Genomic DNA, 27,143 nt, shown 5'->3' with positions numbered 1-27,143 from the left:
CGCCACCACGCCCAGCTAATATTTTGTATTTTTAGTAGAGACGGGGTTTCTCCATGTTGGGCAGGCTGGTCTCGAACTCCTGACCTCAGGTGATCCACCCGCCTCGGCCTCCCAAAGTGCTGGGATTACAGGCATGAACCACCATGCCTAGCCACACATAGAGTTTTGAGACATGTATTTAAGGAGAGAGTGAAAAAACATTCAGTGAGGATATGGTAAAATGCAGATGATGAAGGAGAATAGAAATATGGTCAAGTTTTTGTGCCTAAATATTACAGGATTATAAATTATGAACTGAGACCCACTCCTCTTTTTGAATTAAATTTATGATTCATAGATAGGTTTTACTGAATTTTTTTGCAAACAGCAAAATGACCACTAGAAGAAATGCCTATATCTAATAAAATACAAATAACAAAATGCTTACATAAATTGGTTTATAGTTTACTAAGTATTTTCATATGCATGATTTTATAATTCATTTTTACACAATTCCAACAGGTAGAGCAAGACATGCAATCCCGGTTTTATAGGGGAGGAAATAGAAACCAAGAGATTAAGAAATTATTCAACATTATATAGTACATAATAAAAGGGAGAGTTGGGGTTTGCATCTAGTCTCTGATCTCTTTCTCCCCATACAACATGCACATATAGGCCAATATATAAATATACATAAATATATAACAAGTAAATAATTACATATGTAAACAAATTAAAACAACAAAAATCCAAGCATCACATAAAATATCATTTTAAAAACACTAGGATGTAGTCTTGGTTTTCAAATATTGATGTTATATTGTTCCTTACTTAGCCTTGAGTAGTCTTTTTCTCATTTAGAATATTTTTTACATATTGAATGGAAATTTTCTAATCGATGGTTAATTTGAGAGAATGTTAAAAACAAATGGATATTAAAAGCTGTATGTTTGCAAGATGATTTAAATGCATTCTATGGCCTATTTTTTTTTTTTAAGTTTAAATGGTATGAAGCCTCTAAAAATGTTCGGCTCTCCTGTTTCCCAATGAGCTCCACCAGTGTCCATACCTTTGGTCTCCCTCAGGAAATACTCAAGTTGGGTTTTCATAATTTGGAAAGACAGGGAGAATTGCTTTACAGAACAAGGCTAGTTTTGAGATGTCATTCTCCCCTGCCAAAAAAAAGAAAAAAGAAAAAAAAAAAGGACAAAACCCATTTAACTTCATGGTTAAATTTATTCCTCAAAAATATGAGCACAAAAGAGCCTCTATTTAAAAATACATGTTTAGACTTTAAATTAGACATTAAATCTAGTTCATCACCACAGTGACATAAGTGATAGTGAAGGCCAAACTAACAAGGTGCTGGCTCAAACATCAGAACAAAAAATGGCTTAGGTGCTTTTTTTCTGTTTTGCTTAGAAGAATATTACCAATTGGTATTCAGCATATAATACTAAAAAGGAATATCATATAACATATGAACAAAACTCTTCTATTCTGTGCTTTTCATATAATGATTAATCAGGTTCTATATTTTATTTTAAACATTCTATAGCAATCCTAGGAAGGATTGATAGAAAAAATGAGACAACTATGTCTTGTCTCAATTTTATTGTCTGTTCTCGGGGGTGCTATTTCTGTCTGCCTCCTACAGATCTGGCAAGTCTTAAGGAAAAACAAAAAACTCACAAAGATCAAACAACAAAATAGATAATGAGTTTAGATAAATTGTGTATTCCCTGTTGTACCATAAATCAAGACTGAATATGCAGGTCTGGTGAGATGTAAGTAATGGATAGTTCCTGTGTTATTGGTTCTGTTCCTAAAAAAGCATCAATAGCTGTTTCTCTTCCTCTTTGCAGAAAAATCACTTTATGTTTTTCCTATTTAAAACTCACACGTGCTTATTATAAAGAGTTCAGGTAATGCAGAACAAGTTGTTATAAAGAAGGCAAAAGCAACCACCTCAAATTCTACTCAACATAAACATTGCTAACATGTTGAATGAATGTTATTATAAACATCTTAATATGTATATATTTATATAAAATGAATTGATTAAATACTGTTACAAGATTACAATTTATGCACTATTTTTGAAAAACCATTGAATTTTAATTTTGTTTTAACTTATTAGAAAGAAACTAAAGTAAAACTGAACATTTGTTGAAGTTCAAATAAATGTTGTTGGTGTTGTTTTAAGCACAAGAAATAATATTTTATGAAGAGGGTCTCGAATGTTGACAAAATAGATCATAAAATCATCAAGTTGTTAGATTCACTGTATGTTTCAATTTTAGGTCATGAAAGATGGAGACGTTTATACTTTCATATTTTTCCCACTTCTGCTTTCTAAACCACCAAGTATTTATTATTTATATTATAATTATTATATTTTCAAGATTTTTAATGTTTACACTTAATTATGAAACTATAATTCCCAGAATATTTAACATGACTTGATTAGATAAATCAATTCAATGATAACCCTAATCTTTATGATTTCTACATTAATGAGTTTTTAAATTTGAGTCATTAGGATTTTATCTTCAAGTTGTTTAATCAGTAAGGGCTTCTGAGTGCCTTATGCCTCAAGTTCTTTCAATTTGGGAATTTCTACTCTTTTATTTGGATAGCAGTTTGGCTGGATATGATATTTTAGGGTCATATTTCTTTCCCTTGGGAGATCTCTCTGGACGAATGGAGGAATTTTTCCTTTACTTGTAGGATTCATAAGTTCAATTGAATACACTTTAGTGTTGAGCATCTGAATTAAGTTTTCCTGGAACACAAAGTGTTTTTATTTATTTATTTATTCTAAACAAACAAACAAACAAAAAACGGGATACATGTGCAGAATGTGCAGCTTTGTTACATAGGTATACGAGTGCCATGGTGGTTTGCTGCACTTATTGGCCCATCTTCTATATTCCCTCCCTTCACCCCCCATCCCCCAACAGGCCCTGGTGTGTGTTGCTCCCCTCTCTGTGTCCGTGCGTTCTCATTGTTCAACTCCCACTTACGAGTGACAGTATGTGGTGTTTGGTTTTCTGTTCCTGTGTCAGTTCACTGAGGACATTGGCTTCCATCTTCATCCATGTCCCTTCAAAGGACATGATCTCATTCCTTTTTGTGGCATCATAGTATTCCATAGTGTATATGTACCACATTTTCTGTATCCAGTCTATTACTGATGGGCATTTGGGTTGGTTCCATGGCTTTGCTATTGTAAATAGTGCTGCAATAAACATACAAGTGCATGTGTCTTTATAGTAGAATGATTTATATTCTTTTGGGTATATACCAAGAATGGGATATTGCTGGGTCAAATGGTATTTCTGGTTCTAGATCCTTGAAGAATTGCCATACTGTCTTCCGTAGTGGTGGAAATAATTTACATTCCGACCAACAGTGTAAAAGCATTCCTATTTCTCCACAGACTCGCCAGCATCTGTTGTTACCTGACTTTTTAATAATTGCCATTCTGACTGGAATGAGATGGTATCTCTTTGTGGTTTTGGTTTGCATTTCTCCGATGATCAGTGATGTTGAGTTTTTTCATATTTCTTGGCCACATAAATGTCTTCTTTTGAGAAGTGTCTGTTCATATCCTTTGCTGACTTTTTAATGGGATTGTTTTTTTCTTGTAAATTTGTTTAAGTTCCTTGTAAGTTCTGGATATTAGATCTTTGTTGGATGGGTAGATTACAAAAATTTTCTCCCATTCTGTAGGTTGTCTCTTTGATCTGATGATAGTTTCTTTTGCTGTGCAGAAGTTCTTTAGTTTAATTAGATCCCATTTGTCAATTTTGGCATTTGTTGCAATTGCTTTTGGCGTTTTTGTCATGAAGTCTTTGCCCATGCCTATGTCCTGAATGGTATTGCCTAGGTTTTCTTCTAGGGTTTCTATGGTTTGCAGTTTTACACTTAAGTCTTTAATCCATCTGAGTTAATTTGTGTATAAGGTGTAAGGAAGGGGTTCAGTTTTGGTTTTCAGCCTATGGCTAAGCAGTTTTCCCAGCACCATTTAGTTAATAGGAGATCCTTTCCCCATTGCTTGTTTTTGTCAAGTTTGTTAATGGTTGTAGATGTGTGGTGTTATTTCTGAGGTCTTTGTTCTGCTCCATGTCTGTTTTTGCACCAGTATCATGCTGTTTTAGTTACTGTAGCCTTGTAGTATAGTTTGAAGTCAGGTAGTGTGATGCCTCCAGCTTTGTTCTTTTTGCTTAGGATTGTCTTAGCTATACAGAGTCTTCTTTGATTCCATATGAAATTTAAAATAGTTGTTGCTAATTCTGTAAAGAATGTCAATGGTAGTTTGATGGAAATAGCGTTGAATCTATAAATTACGTTGGGCAGTATGACCATTTTCATGATATTGATTCTACCTATCCATGAAAATGGAATGTTTTTCCATTTATTTTTGTACTCTTTTATTTCCTTGAGCAGTGGTTGATAGTTCTCCTTAAAGAGGTCCTTCACATCCCTTGTTAGCTGTATTCCTAGGTATTTTATTCTCTTTGTAGCAATTGTGAATGGAAGTTCATTCATGATTTGGCTCTCTGCTTGTCTATTGTTGGTGTAAAGGAATGCTTGTGATTTTTGCACATTGATTTTGTATCCTGAGACTTTGCTGAAGATGCTTATCAGTTTAAGAAGTCTTGGGGCTGAGATGATGGGGTTTTCTAAATATAAAATTATGTCATCTGCAAACAGAGATAATTTGACTTCCTCTCTTCCTATTTAAATACTCTTTGTTTCTTTCTATTGCCTGATTGCCCTGGCCAAAATATCCAATACTATGTTGAACAGGAGTGGTGAGAGAGGGCATCCTTGTCTTGTACCAGTTTTCAAAGGGAATGCTTCCAGCTTTTGCCCATTCAATATGGTACTGGCTGTGGCATTGACATAAATAGCTCTTATTATTTTGAGATATTTCCATCAATACCTTGTTTATTGAGAGTTTTCAACATGAAGGGATGTTGAATTTTATCAAAGGCCTTTTGTGCGTCTATTGAGATAATCATGTGGTTTTTGACTTTGATTCTGTTTATGTGATGGATTATGTTTATTGATTTGCATGGGTTGAACCTGCCTTGTATCCCAGGGATGAAGCCGACTTGATTGTGGTGGATAAGTTTTTTGATGTGCTGCTGGATTTGGTTTGCCAGTATTTTATTGTGTATTTTCGCATCGATGTTCATAAGGAATATTGGCCTGAAGTTTTCTTTTTTTGTTGTGTCTCTTCCCGGTTTTGGTATCAAGATGATGCTGGCTTCATAAAATGAGTTAGGGAGGAGTCCCTCTTTTTCAATTATTTGGAATAGTTTCAGAAGGAATGGTAACAGTTCCTCTTTGTATTTCTGGTAGAATTCAGCTGTGAATCCATCTGTTCCTGGGCTTCTTTTTGTTAGTAGGCTATTAATTACTGCCTCAACTTCAGAACTTGTTATTGGTCTATTCAGGGATTCAACTTCTTCCTGGTTTAGTCTTGGGAAGGTGTATGTGTCCAGGAACTTACCCATTTCTTCTAGATTTTCTAGTTTATTTGCATAGAGGTGTTTATATTCTCTGATGGTAGTTTGTATTTCTGTGGGGCCATTGGTGACATCCCCTTTGTCATTTTTTTATTGTGTCTATTTGATTCTTCTCTCTTTTCCTCTTTATTTTCTAGCTAGTGATCTATCTATTTTGTTATTTTTTTTTTTTCAAAAAACCACTTCCTGGATTCATTGATTTTTTTGAGAGTTTTTCCTGTTTCTATCTCCATCAATTCTTTTCTGATTTTAGTTATTTCTTGTCTTCTGCTAGCTTTTGGATTAGTTTTCTCTTGCCTCTCTATCTCTTTTAACTGTGATGTTAAGGTGTTGATTTGAGATCTTTCTAGCTTTCTGATGTGGGGATTTAGTGCTATAAATTTCCTTCTTGACACTGCTTTAGCTGTGTCCCAGAGATTCTGGTACGTTGTCTCTTTGTTCTCATTGGTTTCAAAGAACTTGATTTCTGTCTTAATTTCATTATTTACTCAGGAGTCATTCAGGACCAGGTTGTTCGATTTCCATTAATTGTATGGTTTTGAGTGAGTTTGTTAATCCTGAGTTCTAATTTGACTGCACTGTGGTCTGAGAGACTGTTTGTTTAATGACTTCAGTTCTTTTGCATTTGCCGAGAAGTGTTTTACTTCCAATTATGTGGTCGATTTTAGAATAAGTGCCATGTGGCACTGAGAAGAATGTATGTTTTGTTGATTTCAGGTAGACAGTTCGGTAGACGTCTACTAGGTCCACTTGATCCAGAGCTGATTTCAAGTCCTGAATATCCTTGTTAATTTTCTGTCTTGTTTTTCTGTCTAATACTGACATTGGGGTGTTAAAGTCTCCCACTATTATTGTGTGGGAGTCTAAGTCTCTTTGTAGGTCTCTAAGAACTTGTTTTATGAATCTGGGTGCTCCTGTATTGAGTGCATATATATTTAGAATAGTTAGCTCTTCTTGTTGAATTTTTCCCCTTACCATTACGTAATGCCATTCTTTGTCTTTTTTGATCTCTGTTGGTCTAAAGTCTATTTTGTCAGAGACTAGGATTGCAACCCCTGCTTTTTTTTTCTTTCAATTTGCTTGGTAAATTTTCTTCTATCCCTTTATTTTGAGCCTATGTGTGTCTCTGCACGTGAGATGCGTCTCCTGAATATAGCACACTGATGGGTCTTGACTCTATCCAGCTTGCCAATCTGTGTCTTTTAATTGGGGCCTTTAGCCCATTTACATTTAAGGTTAGTATTGTTATGTGTGAATTTGATAATTTGATCCTGTCATCATGCTGCTATTTGATGATTTTGCACACTAGTTGATGCAGTTTCTTCATAGTGTCATTGGTCTTTACAATTTGGTATGTTTTTGCAGTGGCTGGTACGAGTTTTTCCTTTCCATATTTAGTGCTTCTTTCAGGAGCTCTTCCAGGGCAGGCCTGGTAGTATCAAAATCCCTCAGCATTTGCTTGTCTGAAAAGGATTTTATTTCTCCTTCACTTAAAAAGCTTAGTTTTGCTGGATATGAAATTCTGGGTTGAAAATTCTTTTCTTTAAGAATGTTGAATATTGGCCCCCAATCTCTTCTGGCTTGTAGAGTTTCTGCTGAGAGGTCCACTGTTAGTCTGATGGGCTTCCCTTTGTAGGTGACCTGGCCTTTCTCTCTGGCTGCCCTTAACAGTTTGTCCTCCATTTTGACCTTGGAGAATCTGATTATTATGTGTCTTGGGGTTGATCTTCTCGTGGAGTATCTTAATGGTGTTCTCTGTATTTCCTGATTTGCATGTTGGCCTGTCTTTTAGGTTGGGGAAGTTCTCCCGGATAATATCCCGAAGCATGTTTTCCAGCTTGTTTCCATTTTCCCCATCTCCTTCTGGTACTCCAATGAGTCATAGGTTAGGTCTTTTTATGAAGTCCTATATTTCTTGGAGGCTTTGTTCATTCCTTTTCATTCTTTTTTCTCTAGTCTTGTCTGCATGCCTTATTTCAGCAAGGTGGCCTTCAAACTCTGATATCTTTTCTTCTGCTTGGTTGATTCGGCTGTTGATATTTGTGTATGCTTCATGAAATTCTCGTGCTGTATTTTTCAGCTTCATCAAGTCATTAATATTCCTCTCTAAACTGATTATTCTTGTTAGCAGTTCCTCAACCTTTTATGAAGGTTCTTAGCTTCTTTGCATTGGGTTAGAACATGCTTCTTTAGCCCAGCATAGTTTTTATTACCCATCTTCTGAAGCCTGCTTCTGTCAATTCATCCATCTGATCCTCCATCTAGTTCTGCACCCTTGATGGAGCGATGTTGCAATCATTTGGAGGAGAAGAGGCACTCTGACCTTTTGGATTTTCAGCATATTTTTATTGATTCTTTCTCATCTTCATGAGTTTGTCCAGTTTTGGTATTCAAGGCTGCTGACCCTTGGATGGGGTTTTTGTGAGTGCTTTTTTTGTTGTCATTGATGCTGTTGTTGTTGCTTCCTGCTTGTTTTTCTTTCAACAGTCAGGTCCCTCTTCTGTAGGGCTGCTGCACTTTGCTGGGTGTTCACTTCAGGCCCTATTCATCTGATTATTTCCCACACCTGGAGATGACACTCCAGGAGGCTAGAGAACAGCAAAGATGAGTGCCTACTCCTTCTTCTGGGACCTCTGACCTCAAGGAGCACCAACCTGATGCTAGTAGGATTATTCCTGTACAACCCCTATTGAAGGGTCTCACCCATTTGGCTGGCATAGGGAACAGGACTCATTTTACAAAGCACTTTGTCCCTTGGTGGAGGGTGTGTGCCTTGTTGGGAGAAAACCCACTCATCTGGGCTGCCTGGATTCCTCAGAGCTACCAGGAGGAAAGGCGAAGCCTGCTGGTCCACAGAGGCTGCAGCCACCCCTCCCCTTAGGGGCTTAGGACTAGGGAGATCCAGCTTCTGTCCCTGAGCCTCTAGTTGGAGTCATTGGAGTTCCTCCAGGGAAGCCCCACCCAGTGAGGAAGGATGGGTCAGGGTCAAGCCTGAAGAGGCATTCTGGTGGAAGACTGCCACAGCCAGTGTGTTGGGCTGTGGGGAACAAGTCTTGTGACCAAGCCATCCAGCCTCTCTGGCTCCAGCAGGGGAAAAGCACAGTCTGGAGCTATAGAGATGGATGCTGCCCTTCCCTCGCCCAGGGAGCTTAGTACGTTAGGCAGTTGCGAGTCCTAGTGCTGGCTGCTGCTCCTCTCCCAAGGAGCTCAAACAGCTTAGACAGTAGGCAGCTGCGGTGCTGATCGACCCTGCCCTCGGGAGTTTGGTAGGCTTAAGCAGATTCCAGTTGAGAGACTGTTGGCTAAGTTTATGTTTACTCCATAGACTCTCAAAATGTTCTTAAAATAATATATTTTTCATTCTTACCAGTGATGTGTAAGAACTCCTGTTACTCAATATTCTTGGCAGTATTTTGTATTTTCAGTATTTTGCATTTTATCCATTTTAATGTGTATCTAGTGATATTTTCTTGTGGCTTTATTTTCCATTTTCCTTGTGACTAATGATACTGAGCCTCTTTCACATGTTTATTGGTTATTGTAAAGCAGGTTCGCTGTGCAGGTTGTCTGAGTCCAGTAAGAAAAATCATACTTATACACAACAAGTTACATTAAATGGGTTTATTGCTTACAGATAGGCAGCGAAAACAACAGAATCCTAGAATTTATTGTAAGCCAGTTTTCCAAGGCTCAGGAAATCTGCCTGGAATAGATGGAGCCTCTACTGTACATGTCCCAGTTGCATGGCAGCTGAAAGACCTTGACAAGCAGCCCATTCTTGGTTTTATATCCCAGGGCAATGTGAGATTCAAGGCTAAAGCATTGAAGGACTCTCTGTTTCCAGGGGAGTCTCTTAGTTGGCTTGGGGTGGGATAACAAAATAGCTTAGACTGGGTAATTTATAAACTACAGAAAATTATTGCTTATTGTTGTGAAGATGGGGAAGTCCAAAATCAAGGCACCAGCAGTTTCAGTGTCTTCTGAGGGCTTGCTCTCCACTTCCAAGATGGCACCTTCTTGCTGTGTTCTCACAAGTAGAAGGTACAATTGGAAGGTTCCCTCAAGTCTCTTTTGTAAGGGTACTAATTCCATTCATGAGCATGGAACCCTCTTGACCTAATCACCTCCTCAAGGCCCCACCTCTTAATACACTGCAGTGGAGATGAGATTTCAACATGAGTTTTGGAGGGACATGAACATTCAAACCCTATTGGGGGTACTGGAACAGAACCTGGGCTATTCCAGTCAGTCCCTTCCTATCTCAAGATTTTCTGTTTCCAGCACATTATATAGTTATTCTTGAGAACTACAAGCAAAAATGAGAATGGATTGGATTGGTCCAGGGCCACCCAGAGAATTGTCCTAAGGTTTTATGTATATATGTATATATATATATATATATATATATATATATATATATATATATACACACACACACACACACACACACACACATGTGTGTGTATATATGTATATATGTGTATATATGTATGTATATATATATATATGTACATGTGTATAAATAAATGTGTGTGTGTGTGTGTGTGTGTGTGTATGTATACAGTCAGCCCTCTGCTTTCCCAGATGCAGAACATGGATTCTGCATCCATGGATTCAACCAACTTCAGATAAAAAATGTTTGAAAAAATTGCATCTATATTGAACATGCACAGAATATTTTTATTGTCATCATTCCTTAACAATACAGCATAATAACCATCTACATAGCACTTACATTGTATTAGGTATTATAAGTAATCTGGAGATAATTTAAAGTAGCTAGGAGCATGTGCATAAGTTATATGTAACTACTACACCATTTTATATAAGTGTCTTGAACATCACAGATTTTGCTATCCTCAGTCCCCCATGGATACCAAGGGGCAACTGTGTATTTCTTTTTAATTATTTGTTAGAATTTTTGTTCATTGTTCATTGAATTACTTGTTTTCTTATTACTGAGTTGTAAGAATTCTTTATACTTTGGATGTAAGTTCTCTGTTGGATGCCTGTTTACAGACAATTTCTCCCAGTCTGTGGCTTGACTTTCATTTTATAAAAGCTGTATTTATTGAAGTTTGTTTCATCATTTTTTTGGTTTGTTTTGTGCTTTTCATATCCTGCTTAAAAAATCTTTGCCTACTCAAGGGAAGACTTTCTCTTGTTTTCCCCCTGAAAAGTTCACAGTTTTAGCTTTTACATTTAGGTGGATCCATTTTGAACACATTTTTGTGTGTAGTGTAAGGTAAATCCAACGTTCTTTGTTTTTCATATAGATATCAAGTTGTGCAAGAACCATTTGATGAAAGAAAACTACCTTTTTACTATTGAATTACTTTGGAATATTTGTTGGAAAATCATTTGTCCATATATTGGTTCTTTCTGGATTTTCTATTCTGTTTCATTGCTCTATATGTTTAGCCTTACTCTAAAACCACATTTAATTATTATAGTTTTATAGGAAGTCTTAAATGTAGGTCTCCAAAACTTTGTCATTTTTTCCCAAAATTATTTTGATAGTCTAGGTTTATTCTATTTTCATACATATATTTAAATCAACTTGTCAATTTCATTTTTAAAAAGGACCTGCTGGGATTTGATTGGGATTATACTGAATTTCTAGACAATTTGAGAGAATTGATACCTTAACAATATTGAGTCTTCTAATCTATGAACATGGTATGCCTCTTCACTTATTTACTGTTCTTTCATTTCTCTAAGCACTTTTTTGTGGTTTTCAATATAGAAGTTTTGCGCATGTTTTGTTAATAATATGTTTTTTTAAGTTTTAGTTATCCTTGTCTGCTAATTCTTTAATCTCTGTCATTTCAAGATCTTGGAGTATTGACTGATTTTTTCTTCTAGTTTAGATTCACATTTACATACTTGTTGATGTGTTTAATAATTTTTTGACTAGACATAGACAACAGGACATTATGCACATTCTGTTAATTAGTACTAGGTTGTTTTTATTTCTTTAAAGAACCTTGTTAGCGTGAGTCTAGAATAGATGTTTACTCCGTGTAGTCAACAGAGACATTCCACTCTGGCTAGTTTGAGCTCAAATGTCTGCTAGCTCTATACAGGCTCTGGGAATTGTTTAGGTCACAATCTTCTAGTTGTTCATTGCCCAGTCTTGTGGATTTTACCCTAAATATAGTTGGCTTATTGCTTAGTTACTGACTCAGAGGATCCTTATACAAATTTTTCCTCTGCAGTAGTCTACCTTGAATATGTAAGCTTCTTCAGACTCCCTTAACTCTGGTCTTCATCTCCTTAACTTATTGAGATCGTCATTTTCTGTTTCGAAATTCCCTTTCCTGCATTCTGGTTCAGAGAATGCTTCTAGGCAGAAAGCTGGGATGAACATAATATTCAAACACCTTATTTGTTTCCTTCCTTTTGGGGATCATAGTTCTGTGCTATTTTCCAATGTCCAAACCAGCTGTTTCATATGGTTTGTCGAATTTTGAGTTTTTTACAGGAAGTTAGTGTCAGTTACTCCAACATGGCCAAAAGTGGAAGTCTGTTAATGAATTTTTGTTCCTTTTGCTAGTTTTTGATCACATGTTTACTTGCTTGATGGATGGAGAGTGTGTAATATAGTTCATTTAGCTATAAGTACATGGACTTTGTTTCTTGGTTAAATCTTCCATCTCTCTTCCTTCCTTCTCCTTCTCTACCCCGAGAAAGACATTAGCAATAAAACTTTTAAAACAGGAGTCCAGAGAGGCTCAGATAAGAAATGTAACCACAGATTATTTTTCTCCATCTGCTTTTCAATTTATATAGAACAGAGGGACCAAGTATAAAAATCATTAAACTTTTAAAATTTCCATTGATCAGTTTGAATTTATAAGAATAAATAGCTTTATGTTCCACTTAAAAATTTAAAAAATTACTCTACCATGGTGTATTGCAGTCAACTTTGCTATCTTCTTAGAAAAACATGTCTCAGAGTTTAGATGGAATTTACAAAGGAAAATTACCCATCAATATTAAAGCATAATAATAACACTGTTTTTTATTGACTACAGTAATATATATATATATATATATATATAATACCATTCGTTTACATGTATGTATGGAGAGACATTTACACACTGACAAGATATGCAGAAATGTAACTTTTTATTTCTGTAACATTCCCAATTATTTCCAACTAATCCCTAATCCCAGTAAAAGCAGAAATACTTGCTACTTTAAGGTTACCTGGTTTAAAGCTTAGTCTTTTTGAAAAAAAGTATTCAGGATAAATATTCACTTTTTCTGTCTGCTCTTTTCTCTAGGAAATAATTTGGAAGTGTGTAGGATAGGCTAGAAAGGTTAGAGATGACAAGTAGGATGTTTATTAGTATAAAGTTATTATAGAACAGGGGCCTAAACCAAGTTAGTGGGAGTGGAAAGGAGATGATAAATATGAGACAAAGATGCCATCTCAGAAAGGTTGATGACCACATCCCCAGGTCACCCAGCCTCAGTCATTCTGTCTCCAACATACGCGCCATTGGGCTTGGCCTTTCTACATATCTGTTCTAAAAACTGACAAATGGGGTTACACCTCTTCTGTCACTTTATGTTGGACAATCTCAATAATAGGCAATTTAGTAAATTATTATAGCAGCAAAGCTTTTTAAGATTTCATCTGTGTATAATGGTCACACTATTCACTCTTAACAGCGGGGCACCAGAGGCTTTAGGCAACCTAAGCACCATAGTAAAGCTGTCGTGCCACCTTGTGGTGTTTCAGATGGTTACAGACTGATGATTTTCCCCTAGCATTTATCTGGTTATAAAATTGATTTTCTCTTTTTCAAATTAGGCATTTTATCTTTTTGAAAAGTAAATTTTATTTTTAATAATTGACTTAAAATGATCAATAGCTGTAGCTTTTAGTGCTTTTAAAAGGACATTGTATGCAAATATAATAACTTCTTTCAAGTCAAGTTTTTGCTTGATACTAATTCTGGATTGTGTCTCTACAAAATTGTCACAATATGTTTAATTTTCAAATGCTATAGATTTTAGGCCATTGCTAGGTATGTTTATGTAATGCAATGCTGATTGCTCTTACTTTATGGGGCTTCACTTTAAGGTCTTTGTATAAAATAATGCATTTAAAACTCAACAAAGATATATATTGATTCTAATTAAAGGAAATTATGAAAAATGTAAAGATCTATATATATTACCTATTTTCCTCATTGTCTCACTTATTAGATATGGAAGAAATATTTCAAATTTAGACATAAAAAATTATCTTTATAACTCCAAGAAATTAATAAGGAACTTTTAATTTACTTAAAAAGATGATATTCAATGTGCCTGAGTGGGTTATGTATGTTAAGAGAGAGAGAGAGAGAGAGAGAGGGAGAGAGAAATGACATAAATAAATTTTAAAAATATGAAGATTAATGTATATTCTTCAGCTGAGATTATTTGATAATTATAGAAATTACTGTAACATCTTGGGATGTTATGAGTGCCAGATACTTTCTAGTCACCATGATAATTTCCTGCAAGGTCCATGGATTAATGTAAAATTTTGTGACATGCCAGCACTTACACTTTTCCCTTTTTCAGGAATCAATAATATAAAACTTATATTTAATGAAAGACAACACCTGAAAACTATCTTTTCAAGCAAGTTATGTCATTCACTTTTTCACTTCACTTTTTCTGTCACTTCTTCTGTCTGCTCATGTCATTCTTGTGATTTCTTTTTCCTTTCTTGAATATTTGGCATGTGATTTTTGGAGTGGCAGGTGAAGGCAGAGTGTATTCTATATAGGGTATTTTTTTTCTCAGTACATTTTTAAAATTTCAACTTTTATTTTAGGTTCAAGGGATGCATGTTTAGGTTTGTTACAATGGTATATTGTGTGAAACTGAGGTTTAGAGTATGAATGATTCCATCACCCAGGTAGTGAGCCAGGCACCCAACAGGTAGTTTTTTCATTCTTGTCTCCCTCTCTCCCTCTCTCTCTAGTAGTTCCCAGTGTCTGTTTTTCCCATCTTTATGTCTATGTGTATTCAATGATTAGATCCCACTTATATGTGAGAACACGCGGTTTTTGGTTTTCTGTTCCTGTGTAATTCACTTAGGATGATGGCCTCCAGATGCACCCATGCTGCTGCAAAGGACATGATTTCTTTCTTTTTTTGTGTGGCTACATAGTATTCCATGGTGTATATGTACCACATTTTCTTTATCTAGTCCACCTTTGATGGACACCTTGGTTGATTCCATGTCTTTGCTATTGTGAATAGTGCTATGATGAACATACAAATGCATGTGGTCTTTTTGGTAGAACTATTTATTTTCCTTTGGGTGTATAGCTAGTAATAGGATTACTGGGTTGAATGGTAGTTCTGTTTTAAGTTCTTTGAGAAATCTACAAACTGCTTCCACAGTTGGCTGAACTAATTTACATCCCCACCAACAATGTATAAGCATTGTCTTTTCTCTGCAACCTTGCCAATATCAGTTGTTGTTTTTTTTTGCATTTTAATAATAGCCCTTCTGACTGGTGAGATGGTATCTCACTCTGGTTTTTATTTGCATTTTTCTGATGATTATTAGTGATGTGGAGCATTTTTTCATGTTTTTTGGCCTTATGTATGTCTTCTTTTGAGAAATGAGTAAAATTTTTGAAGCATTGATCAAATCACATTTTTTGTTGTATTTGTCTTCTCACTTAGCTAAGCCAAAACAGATCAGCCAGCAGGGGTCAGGCTTTTATAGTGTATGGGTTTGAACTTTCCATCTCTCACAGTATCTTTTAGGAACCTGCAGGTTTCTTGATTACACCATTAGCATTGTACTTTTCAGAAATGAATGCTTACCAGTTAATTTTTTAACTAGAACCAAACCAAATTAATGTAGAATTGTGAGACTCTGTAGAAGCTTTCTGAGACAAAATTATTTGTTTAAATTTTGACCGGGCATGGTGGCTCACACCTATAATCCCAGCACTTTGAGTGGTGGAGGTGGGAGGGTTGCTTGCGCCTGGGAGTTCCAGACCAACCTGGGCAACATAGCAAGACCCCATATCTATTAAAAAATATAAAATTAAAAATAAAATTAATGCCAATCTGCTACTAAAAAATAAATATCATTCTTTAAAAATCTTTTATTTGGTATTTCTTCTAGTAATCACTGATGAGCTCATCAACATTTTGCATTAGGTTATCTATGTGTATGAAAATGAATAAGTGTGAGATCTATTTTAGGATGCTGAAAAGTAAAGGAAACATGTAATGCATTTGTTCTGAATATGACTAACTGTGTCTTTTAAATTCAGGACCTGGCCTTTCATTATCAAAAGTCCCAAGCAATATAAAAACCTTTCTTTCATGGATGCTATGAATAAGTTTAAATGGACTAAAAAGGAAGGTCTCTCCTTCAACAAGCTGGTCCTCAGCCTGCCAGTGAATGTGAGATGTTCCAAGACAGACAATGCTGAGTGGTCGGTAAGCTCTTTTTAACCTCTGACAACCCAGATGACACATTTTATCTGAATCTATTACAGGAAAACCTAAGGAGAAGACAAATATCCATAAATCCAGGGGTCCAGTTGCCTTCTAATGTCTGATAATTTTTGTTCAATGATTACTTGGATTGACTGAAAACTCCTCATTCTACCCCCTTTCAAGAGAAAAATTAGTTCTAAAACTAAGGTTGGGATAGAGCAGGAACAGGCCGGAATGAGTGCTGCAAAAAGCAATAGAGCCTGCTTTGTATTCTTTTCCAAAGGAGTGCCTGGCCCTCTTTTCTGTTTCCTCCTTAACCCTAGGTTTCTGACTCCCCCAGTGTGTGACTCCTTTGGTAACCACTCCTGCCCCCTTTATCCCCTGCAGAAGTGTGGGCAGCTGAGCGGCCTGGTCACTGTGCTGCCTTAAATCAGATGTTCATTTGCATTGTTTGTGCTTCCATTTTCAGATTCAAGGAATGACAGCATTACCTCCAGATATAGAAAGACCCTATAAAGCAGAACCTTTGGTGTGTGGCACGTCTTCTTCCTCTTCCCTGCACAGAGATTTCTCCATCAACTTGCTTGTTTGCCTTCTGCTACTCAGCTGCACGCTGAGCACCAAGAGCTTGTGATCAAAATTCTGTTGGACTTGACAATGTTTTCTATGATCTGAACCTGTCATTTGAAGTACAGGTTAAAGACTGTGTCCACTTTGGGCATGAAGAGTGTGGAGACTTTTCTTCCCCATTTTCCCTCCCTCCTTTTTCCTTTCCATGTTACATGAGAGACATCAATCAGGTTCTCTTCTCTTTCTTAGAAATATCTGATGTTATATATACATGGTCAATAAAATAAAACTGGCCTGACTTAAGATAACCATTTTAAAAAATTGGGCTGTCATGTGGGAATAAAAGAATTCTTTCTTTCCTACTACATTCTGTTTTATTTAAATACTCATTGTTGCTATTTCACTTTTTGACTTGACTTTTATATTTCTTTAAAAAATTCCTTCCTTTTAAAAAATATAAAAGGGACTACTGTTCATTCCAGTTTTCTTCTTCTTTGTTGTTCTTCTAGTGTGACTTTTCAAGTGTAACAGCCATTCTTCCTGACTTTAATATTGTCCAGTTCTGGTCTTTTCTGTGAATTACCACTGGGCCCCTTACCTCAATGCTTTTTGTTGATGCCCACTCTGGTTCCCTTGTTTATCTGAGTCTGTTGGTACCCCAAATGACCCCACACCCATCTTAAAGTACTTTTTTTCACCTTCCCTGTTTAGTACTGGCCAGATGAGTTTTTTCTAGAGCTCTGTCACTATCTGAAAAGAAAGAGGCTATGGGAAACATAGAAATGGTATGTATTAATAACTGATCATAGGCTGAGGAGAAAAAATGTAGCTGGCTGCAAACCCAGTGCTGTGAGGTGACTTATATGAGGTTCCAGATCAAAGACAGGCCGTGTGAGCCAGTCCAGGAGGGTGTAAGTTCTGAATGGTTCCTTGCTGACTTTGGGTGACACATGTACCACATACTGGCTCAGTTTAAGTCATGGTTCTATTGTAGATTTATTTTTATATTAGTTAATAAATGACTTTAAATTGTCACCAATTGAAAATCTTGTCACTCTTTTGGTTTTCTTTATATAGCTCAGCCAAATCTTGTTTTATGTCCTGTCCTCATCTCTTAAGCTAAATCTGTTTGGATCATATTAATAAACTAAATGAAATTACACTTTTGTGTGGTATTTTATACATTGTTTAAGAAAAGTAAGTGATTCAGTACTAGTATTAACAGTAAAAGTCAATTCAGAATGTTGCATTTTCCATTCCATTTTGAAGCCCTTTTTGCCCCATAATGTCTTCAACACAAAACGTATTGCCTTTTAAATAAATATGTTTCAGAGTATTTCCTTCTTGATTCTTAGAACTTGTACATTTGATGAAATGTTTTTAATATTTTTGAGGCATATTTTTGAGTTTACTTTCTTTTTATTTTATAAGTGCTATTTCACATTCTATGATTTTCCATTCAAATATTTATATGAGAAATATAATTCCAAATGCTCCCTATTTGAAATTTTATGTTGATTTTTACTTCAGAATTTCTGAATTTGAGGTATCAAAGTCAAATGATTTCCTCCTGAGATTCTGTAATATTATATTTGTTCTTACCAAGAACAAATATTCTGTAATATTATATTTGTTCTTGGTAAGGAAGGTGAACATACCAGCTAGACGAGGGTAAACAGCTTTGGAAGCTTAATTTATGGAGCCAGGCCAGGGAATCTCTTCCATTGATGTTACTAAGAAGAAAGTTGACATTATTCTTCTGGAAATTCTCATGAATATATGTGATTTCAAGGAATAGACTCTATTTCAAATTGGGATAGGTTATCTGTTGTAAGTTCTATAGAATTCTGATTGTATTCTAAGTTATTTGGTCTTATGTTGAGCACACCTTCCTGAACAGCCGGGCTTTTTATTACTCCTTTTTCAGAGAGGCTTTTAATTGCTTTCCTAGATTAAATAGCATCACCTGACACCTAGGCTGTCAGGCACAAGTCCCCGAGACTTTGGGGAGAATGGGGTCTCCATGTATGATGGTCTCTGGTTGGATCCTTAGGTTCAGAGAGTGTGGAGAAGACATACCTGGTGAAACCAACATTCATCAGTGCCATGTAAAATTGAGGGTATCCTGGGTGATCTTTTTTTTTTTCTGAAGGGGGCTCAGGCAGAATCAAAGGAGTCCTAGCAGTGATAAGAGTGATGTAGTCAATAGAGGTAGACATATTAAGAGCTTCAGACTTTGTCCTAATGGCTCCAGAGGCCAATGATGGGTGGCAAACAAAAGGACATTTGGAAGCAGTATGTAAAGGCTATTGCTCAGCCAAACTCATTATTGGGTGTAAAAGTCATTTCAATTTTTAATATAAGTATTGGTGATTTAACAACTTTGAAATTAAAACTTTTTTATATCCCTAAGTATTTTCTTACATCTAGGTCATAATAAGTGGAATTACAGAAATAATCATTGCGTATTTCAAGAATTTTGATGAAATATTGTCAGATAACTTTAACTTTTTCTCAAATGGTTTGGAAAAATTATCTATCCATCTATCTATCTATCATCTATCTATCTATGTGGTATCTGGCTATGTATCTACAGAGAGAGACATGTAAAATGATAATAATGGGTGAGTCTGGTTGGAGAACATAAGATTTCTTTGTACTATTGTTGCAATTTTTTAAGTTTGAAATTATTTCAGAATAAAAAGCTAGAAATGCAGAAAACATCATGAAGAATCCAGCTACAGCACAGTGATCCAGGTAGGTTTTCTTCCCTTTGCAGTATTCCTACATTTTGAGGTGGTAAAGAGAGAAACTAGATGGTGCTTACTCCTCAGATACCCCTGAGAGAGGGCAGAGATGACTGCAAGTTTGTCAGTTCTGACTAAAGATAGGATGTGCTTCCAGTTTGGAAGGAAAAAAAAAAGAAAAAAGGAACCACAAAACAAAAAACAGAGGGCTTGAGGGACCCAGGGAGTGAGGAAAAATCCAAAAAACTAAAAAAAAAAAAAAAAAAAAAAAAGGAAGAGGTCTTGCAGGCTGGAAATCACTTAAAAATAATATATTTATTTTGCTCTCCCCCTGATTATAAACCTAATGTGTAATGCCCATTTGCTAAAGAAAACTTAGAAAAGTATGATAATTTTTTAAATAATAAAATCTGTTAATCCTATTGACCAAAGAATAAATAAAACCTGTTAATAAATAAAATCTGTTAATTCTATTTCCCACTTCTAACTTTTACATTGCATATGCTTCTAGTATATGTCTGCAAAGGTGTATATCTGTGTATATTCATATATAGATGGAGATACAGATGTTAGGTAACACTAGCTTCTGAAACAAATTCCAAAATATCAATACTTTAACACAATGAAGTTTATTTTTCATCAATTAATTGCTCAATGTGTGTTCATCTGGTCATTGGCTTTCCTTCTTGTGGTGATTCCGGGACCCAGGATCCTGTGGCCTTATCATTCCTAGGGCTCAGGGTCATTTGCATTCCGCCTGCTAATGGAGAAGGACCTGACCTAGAAGGGGCAGAAATCACTTCCACTTTCACCACGTTGGTTAAAATAAGTCACATGGCCTCATTGAAATGCAAGAGGGGCTAAGAATGTCATCTATCTTTGGGTACCTGGAGAATGACAACACTACAGAAAGGAAGACATCTCTGCTGCAATATATGTTTTTAGTAAAATTGACTTTCATCTACTCAAATGATTCCAAGATTTTTGAGTTTTAAAAACAATGATCAAACCAACATAGGGTTGTCAACTTATGTTTGGCAAAATAGGATACTAAACAGAATGGTTACTATTTATTTAATAAATTAACAAATTGTATTGAGCCTATGTTGAGCCATGCTCTGTACTACAGCGTTGGGCTTACAATTGTGATGAAGCCCATAGCTGAGTACATTAAACCTCTTATCACCAACATTTCATTTTACAAATTGGAAGCATTCAAAATAAATATCAGTTCTTCAAATTGAATAAATTTAGCTTTACAGAAAGCTTACATCATCATCATGGACCATCCTTTCTCCATAGATTATGTGGACTATGAACATAGTTTATATCATATTGAACATCTTAGCCCTACAAGATTTTAATTGACAGTTGTATCTAAATCCAACATAGTCAGACTGGTACTTTATGAGTAGAAAATGGTCAGTTGAACAGGCTCATGGCAGCATCCATTACTGCCCAGGCCAGAGCTGTGATCCATGGAAACTATGAAGAGTCATGGAACATTGTTACAACTTAAAACAGGCTTATTGCATAACGTCTCTGTCTTAAATATAATAATGTGCATTTGAAAGTCCAAGAAGAGTTATATAGTATGAAACATTTCTCAAACTCATTTCACCAAACCCCTGTTGTGGTGGAGCAATGTTCCCAAAGGAACAAACTCTGGGGCACACAACTTTCTGAGCAGAGCATGTCCAGGTTTCTTTAACAGGTTCTTGGAAACTTCCAAACTGTTCATGGGCAACTGTAAAACAGTCCAACAGACATAAGCCTTTCACTTGGGTTCATGGTCTATTCCTTATTTGCCGTGTTATTTTGCCAATAAACAAACACACCCTCATTTTTTTTTTTTTTTTTTGAGAGAGAGAGAAATCCTCCCACCACAGCCGCCTGAGTAGCTGGGACCACAGGTGCGCACCACCATGTTTGGCTATTTTTATTTTTTTCTGTTTTTGGTAAAGACAGGGTCTCACCATGTTGCCCAGGCTTGTCTCAAACTCCTGAGCTCAAGCAATCTATCCTCTTTGGCCTCCCAAAGTGCTGGGATTATAGGCTTGAGCCATTGTGCCCGGCCCTCTGTTTTTTATTAATCTAGAGTGGTACAACTTACAGAAAAAATGAAAAACAATTTACCATTTTCTCAGGGAATATGCTAAAATGAATTATTTGACATCAATAAGGTATTTCAGAAATGTTGACAAAGCTGCATATCTTTGGAACATTTCAGACCTATAGATAGAGACTACCTTTATTTCCTAAGTAATTTTATTCCTTAAGAGAATGCTAAATTTCAAAATCCTGCCTTATTTCCCAACAATGAAAGCAGAAAAATTAAAAAACAAAATTCATCAGATGAGTTATAAGTGACTCTCTTTGACCAGTCACAGCTTTTGCCCTTTCTAAAGGTTTTCCATCACAAAGAGCAAAATATTTCCAGTGACTTTTTTGGTCATCATGATGTTGCTAAATTGCTTTACCATAAGGAAAACCTTACGTTAAAAAGGCAACTTTTAATGAAAGTTGTTTTATAGAGTTCCCTTCATTGTCCTTTGATTAACAATAGCATGAGGACTCTGTGGCCTCAATCTAAGGTTTATTTAATAAAGACATTTCTTTTCCAACTTCTTTAATATTTGTTGTGGAATTGATATAATGTGAAAAAAGGAATTTGGGGGGAATAATATACAAATGTAGAATGAAAGCCTGAATTACCCAAGTTTCCCTCTTATTTTTTACTAATCCATTAAATATTACTAATCAAAATAATGCCATACATTTTTATAATGTTTTGGAATTTGCAAAGTGTTTTCACAATATTCTCATTAATGCTTAAAACTGCTTTTACAAGTGAATAGTTATATTCAGAAAAGGTAAGTAGACAGCATGTTGTACTGTGGTAATTATGGGAGACCTAATTTCCAATTGCTTTACTTTAAACTATGTGGACATAAACTATATCCAAAATGACTTAGTAAATTTCTCTTTTCCCATCAGTAAAGTAGTGATAATAATTTCTAATCTTAAGAAGTTGCTTGTGGATTAAATATGGTAATAAAGATACAGCATCTGACACATTGAGCTCACTCAATATCAGTTTTCTTCTTTCCTTTGCAAGACCCCATGTTTAGGATGCACAATTCCTGGCAACAGAGGCAGGTTTCCTATTTTATTTTCTATACCATTTTCCGGATATAATCAATTGAAATTTGGTTTTAACTGAATCAGTTTTTCAAAGTGAATGACACTTAATCAAATGAATATTAGGTCTGAGTGAATTTGGCAATCATTCTCAAAAAGAAAAAAAAATCAATGACTAGCTACTTGTCATTTCTCATGTTTGTCAAAAGGAAAGACATTATTCTTTGCTCTTTTTCCTCCTGGAAATAATCTGCTGTCATGAAACTAATAAAGTTAAAATGAACCAATCTACCTTTCTCGTGTTTTTTATGATTTGCAAAAATGGAGTTCTAGTTTTTTATGAGGAAAGCTTTACAATTTTGGCCTATTTTTCCTTGCTTCATGAGACTTTTCCTTCCACATTTGGTTCATGTGTCTTCACCTCACTTTGACTATTTCATAAGTTGTCTTCTCTTCTTAGAATATATTTAAAAGACAGACTTTTTGAAATAAATCTATCAAATAAAACTATATTACTATTAACTGAAAATAAGGAATAATATGGGAAATAAAGGGAAGAGGGGGATTTTGTGTATTAAACAAAGGATGTGTTTCTCCCCTAAAGCCATTAGATGGCTTACTGCATATCTGGTATAAATCCTGCCAATGTTGGCTTGGAGGTATTAGACTTCTCAAAGAACCTGCCCTGGCCCTTCCCAGCCTACATACTTATTTCCCTATTGCCTTTATTTTCTTGCTAATTCTAAATTCAAATTACCTTAAGCTTCTTAAAGATTTTTAAATCCTCCATTTTTAAGGTTAACACAGATTTCCTAATGTCTGCTCTTTGCTTAAGTGACATGTGGTTGTACAGATGGGTTCTGCAGGAAGTCCATATGCAGCCTTTAAATAATTTTAAAATAATTCTTATTGAGGGTTAAGCTCTAAGATCAACCTTAAGTCTCCTAACCTTTTACTGTAATGATTCTGAGTCTCTTTTGAAATTTTCCAAATTGTTAGTTTGTTGTAGCTTGCATTTTATACTTCACCTTCTGTTTTGAGATTACTGTATTTAAATCTTTAACTTCTTGTTCTTTTATCTTCAATTTTTTGTTTTTAAATTTAATTTCCATCCTTAATTCTAATCTAATCAGTTTAAGCATTTTTTGCTAATCTTTTAATTGTTTAGCCCATTAGTTATTTTAAGAAGATATACTTCTTTATTTTAATAACAGCTTGAGGAAGTGCCTAAGCCAATTGTGAGCAGTGGTGAGAATGCACTTTGTAGACAGAAAAAGTGAAGGATTTTTTTTCCCTTAGAACTCTCTGCATTTACATCACTGGCTCCCTGTAAAGAATTTCCCAGGCCAAATGAGGATTCTGCAATGAACTTGCCTAGTCATTTGCTAATCTTGCTAGAGTTAGAAGCACCGTCATTCAGATGGGATACTGGAATTGCAAGAATGGAATTGCTTTCCATAGACCATTTAGTCCTCATATGAAGAACCGTGTTCTTTAATACTCCGTTATCTCCAAATGACAAAACCATAGGGTTTGGAGTAAACTATGACAATTTCCATTCCCTAGTCAGGAGCTGTCTTTGTGCAGTGCACTTGGAGAAATGAGCCATGCGGTGTACTAAGCCTTCTCTGCAAGTTGCCAGCTTTCTTCTCTTATTTGGTGATTGCTAATTAGATACAGAACTTTTCCCTTTCCTTCTTTTAAAATCTTCCTTTTTTTTTTATGCTTAACAGAGATTTCCTATAGTCTGTTCTTTGCTTAATTGACATGTGGTTGTACATATGGGTTCTGCAGGAAGTCCATATGCAGCTTTTAAATAATTTTAATTTGTCATCAATCATTCACCCTTGAACCAGTCTGCCGCATACTTGAAATACGCGAGTGAACAAGAAAGCTAATGATGAAATCTAGTGAAGAAAACAGAGACTGTAGTTACAAATTTTTTTAAAGTCTCTTATTTCTGAGTCCTCTTTACTTAGCTGACATAGCATCAGTTCTGATGGCCATAGGGCATAATTTCTTTTCACATATAGTATACATATTTACTTTTCATAATCTTTGGCATATATGTTGTGTTCAATTAAGTATTGTATTTGCCCTCAATGTTAGTGGTATTTTTAGAACTATCATATTTTCTATATTATAGAAAATATAGAAAAGATATAAATTTTTCTATATTTAGAAATATTAGTTATTTTAAGAAGATATACTCTTTAATAACAACTTGAGAAGTGCTTAAGCTGATTGTGAGCAGTGGAGAGAATGCAATTTGTAGAAAAAAAAGGGAAGAATTAAAAAAATTTTGTTTAAGTGGAAGAATTCTTCTAAATATAGAAGAATTTATTAACATCCAATAGTTTAAAAGAACTTTCTTTAAGTAAGATATGTTTGCATCTCCAATAAGAATATTATTTTATGTTATTTGGATTGATTCAACTCTACCTAATGTATAAATTATTCTTCTGAGCACTCTGCCTGCGGGAGTGAAAGGGAAAGGTGGGATCAGTGAGCATAGGGTCTTTAAAGAAGGAGAATCTTGGTTCTGTACTGTAGCTAATTTTGCATATCTACAGAAAAACACTTGGAATTGTTATACAATGCTTAGTCTCCAGGTAATAGTACCTTTGGTACTTACTCTTATGTGAAGAACTGACATTAAATCTTTGTCTTACTTCAATACAATGAACAAAGGATTGATTTAAAGTTGATCCCAGTACAATGAAGAAGCTAGAATAGAATGTTAATTAAAAATCATCTTAAAATCGTTATTTAAAAATGTATGTGTATTAGACTATCTAATGTGATTTAATTGAAAAGCTTTCACATTTCTCTTTGTAACCCCTGTAAAGTTTTCAGCACAGTCAATTGCATGTAGTGATTTTATTATAAATATTAGTTGAATTGCTATGAAATCGTGTAGTTTTAGATAATCTCCAAGGATGTTTTTTAAAATTTCTTTTAAACAGTAGATTGCCAAGAGCCCAATAGGCTAAGTGGGGCTTAGCATAAATATGCTTTTTATAGCTCTTAAAAATATGAATTTAGAGTGTTTTGTATCAACGTGATATAGAGCATGTAATGTCAGATTAAATAAATCAAGCTTTTCCATATAAACCCCTTTCATGGGCCATCTTATTGCTGGTCGAAAAACACAGTAAACAGAACTATAAGACTAGCTTGAGGCTAGGTCTTATAGGCAGGGCTTACTTTGTTAAAATTGATAACCATTCATGTGATTTAGCTTCATGAACTCAGAAGCCTACAGGATAGATGATAAACCAGTGCTAATTTCAGGCTGCTACCTGAAATTCCAAAAATAGATCATCATTATTTGGTAATGGGAAAGGTAACACATTACATCTTAGTGTTATTTCTTCCTGAGAGAGAAGAAATACAATGGGAATGTAGTGAAGACAGGAAGGCTGGAGGCAATGAACTGGTTGGCATACTCCAGGGAAAGAATGAACAAGACTACCTGCAAAGGCGATGGGTGCTAAAAGGAGTTTAAGACAACTTCCTCTCCCTTTTGCTGCGCTAGCACTATATATGTGCATAAACTACACATCCAAGATTTTCAAGATAATTTGCATTCAATGATTCTCTCCTGGTATCCATAAAAGCAGCAAAATATTTATTCCAGTGTAAAATGAGAGTCCATGGATTAACAAGTGGAAAAACAGAATTCAAATTTTAAAATGCCCCTCTCCCCTACCCCCATACACAAGAGAAACATTTTCTTTCAGTCTTCTGCAACTAGAGATGGACTTGATTAAGCAACAAGATTATGGGATAAGAGATAAGAGATGTTCCTTTTCCCTTTTGGTGGTAGGTGTGACTTTACCAAAGAATAGAAGAGGTGACATATCATTGAGATACTTATTTGGTTTTAAAGAACATAAGTCCCATTGTGTGGGCAGATGCCCAGGCAGCTACAGAAACACATCATTCCTGTAGGGCCCAGCAGTCTGGTCTCACAGACAGAGCAGCAGCCTAGAGTGTGAGCAAACACTGTGGACCCACACCCACAGATTCCTCACCCGTCTTTCTTTCTTCCTTGTTTCCTCCCCACACTCCATTTCTACTGCTCCATTTCTCTGTTCATTTCCTTGTCTTTTTTTGTACTCTTTCAGCTAGACAGTACATATTTATTGAATGTCAGTGTTTGCCAGGCCATAAATAAGACACATTTTCTGACCTTCTAGAACTGACAGCCTCACTGGAGAGAAACACAATGAACAATAATAACACAACTACTACTATACATATATCAGAATGACTAAAATAAAAAAAAAACTGGAAAATGCTGATGAGGATGTGAAGTAATAATTGGTAGATTTCTCGCCATTGCAGGTGGGAATACAAAATAGTACAGCCACTTTGAAATAAGGTTTGCAGTACCTTATAAAGTTAAGCATATATTTACTGTACAACACAGCCATCATACTCCTGAGTATTTACACTAGAGAAGTGAAACCTTATGTTCACATATAAACCTTTATGAATCCTCATAGCAGCTTTTAAAATAATAGCTGAAAGATGGTAACCAACCAGATGTTCTTCAATGGATGAACGGATAAACAAACTGGAGTACACGCAACCAATGAAATATTACTCAGCAATAAAAATGAATGAACCATTGACACACATGACAATTTGGATAGTTCTCAATGGCATTACACTGAATGAA

At 35.4% G+C, this 27,143-nt stretch overlaps 1 protein-coding gene across 4 annotated transcripts in view; it reads left to right on the top strand.

The window, feature by feature from the left end:
- MOXD1 (monooxygenase DBH like 1) overlaps positions 1-17,730 on the top strand; it is a 105,421-nt gene extending 87,691 nt beyond the window's left edge. For all 4 annotated transcript variants that reach the window (XM_017010714.3, NM_015529.4, XM_047418622.1 and 1 more), the window contains exons 11-12: positions 15,830-15,998; positions 16,468-17,730. In XM_017010714.3, the coding sequence (XP_016866203.1) occupies positions 15,830-15,998; positions 16,468-16,632 (334 nt within the window). In that variant the 3' untranslated portion in view covers positions 16,633-17,730. The remainder of the gene's footprint in view (positions 1-15,829; positions 15,999-16,467) is intronic.
- The last annotated feature ends 9,413 nt before the right edge of the window (positions 17,731-27,143 follow it).

The sequence above is a fragment of the Homo sapiens genome, chromosome 6 (assembly GCF_000001405.40).
Source record: "Homo sapiens chromosome 6, GRCh38.p14 Primary Assembly".
In the NCBI taxonomy this organism is placed as follows: domain Eukaryota; kingdom Metazoa; phylum Chordata; class Mammalia; order Primates; family Hominidae; genus Homo; species Homo sapiens.
This window is presented reverse-complemented; position numbering and strand designations above follow the sequence as displayed.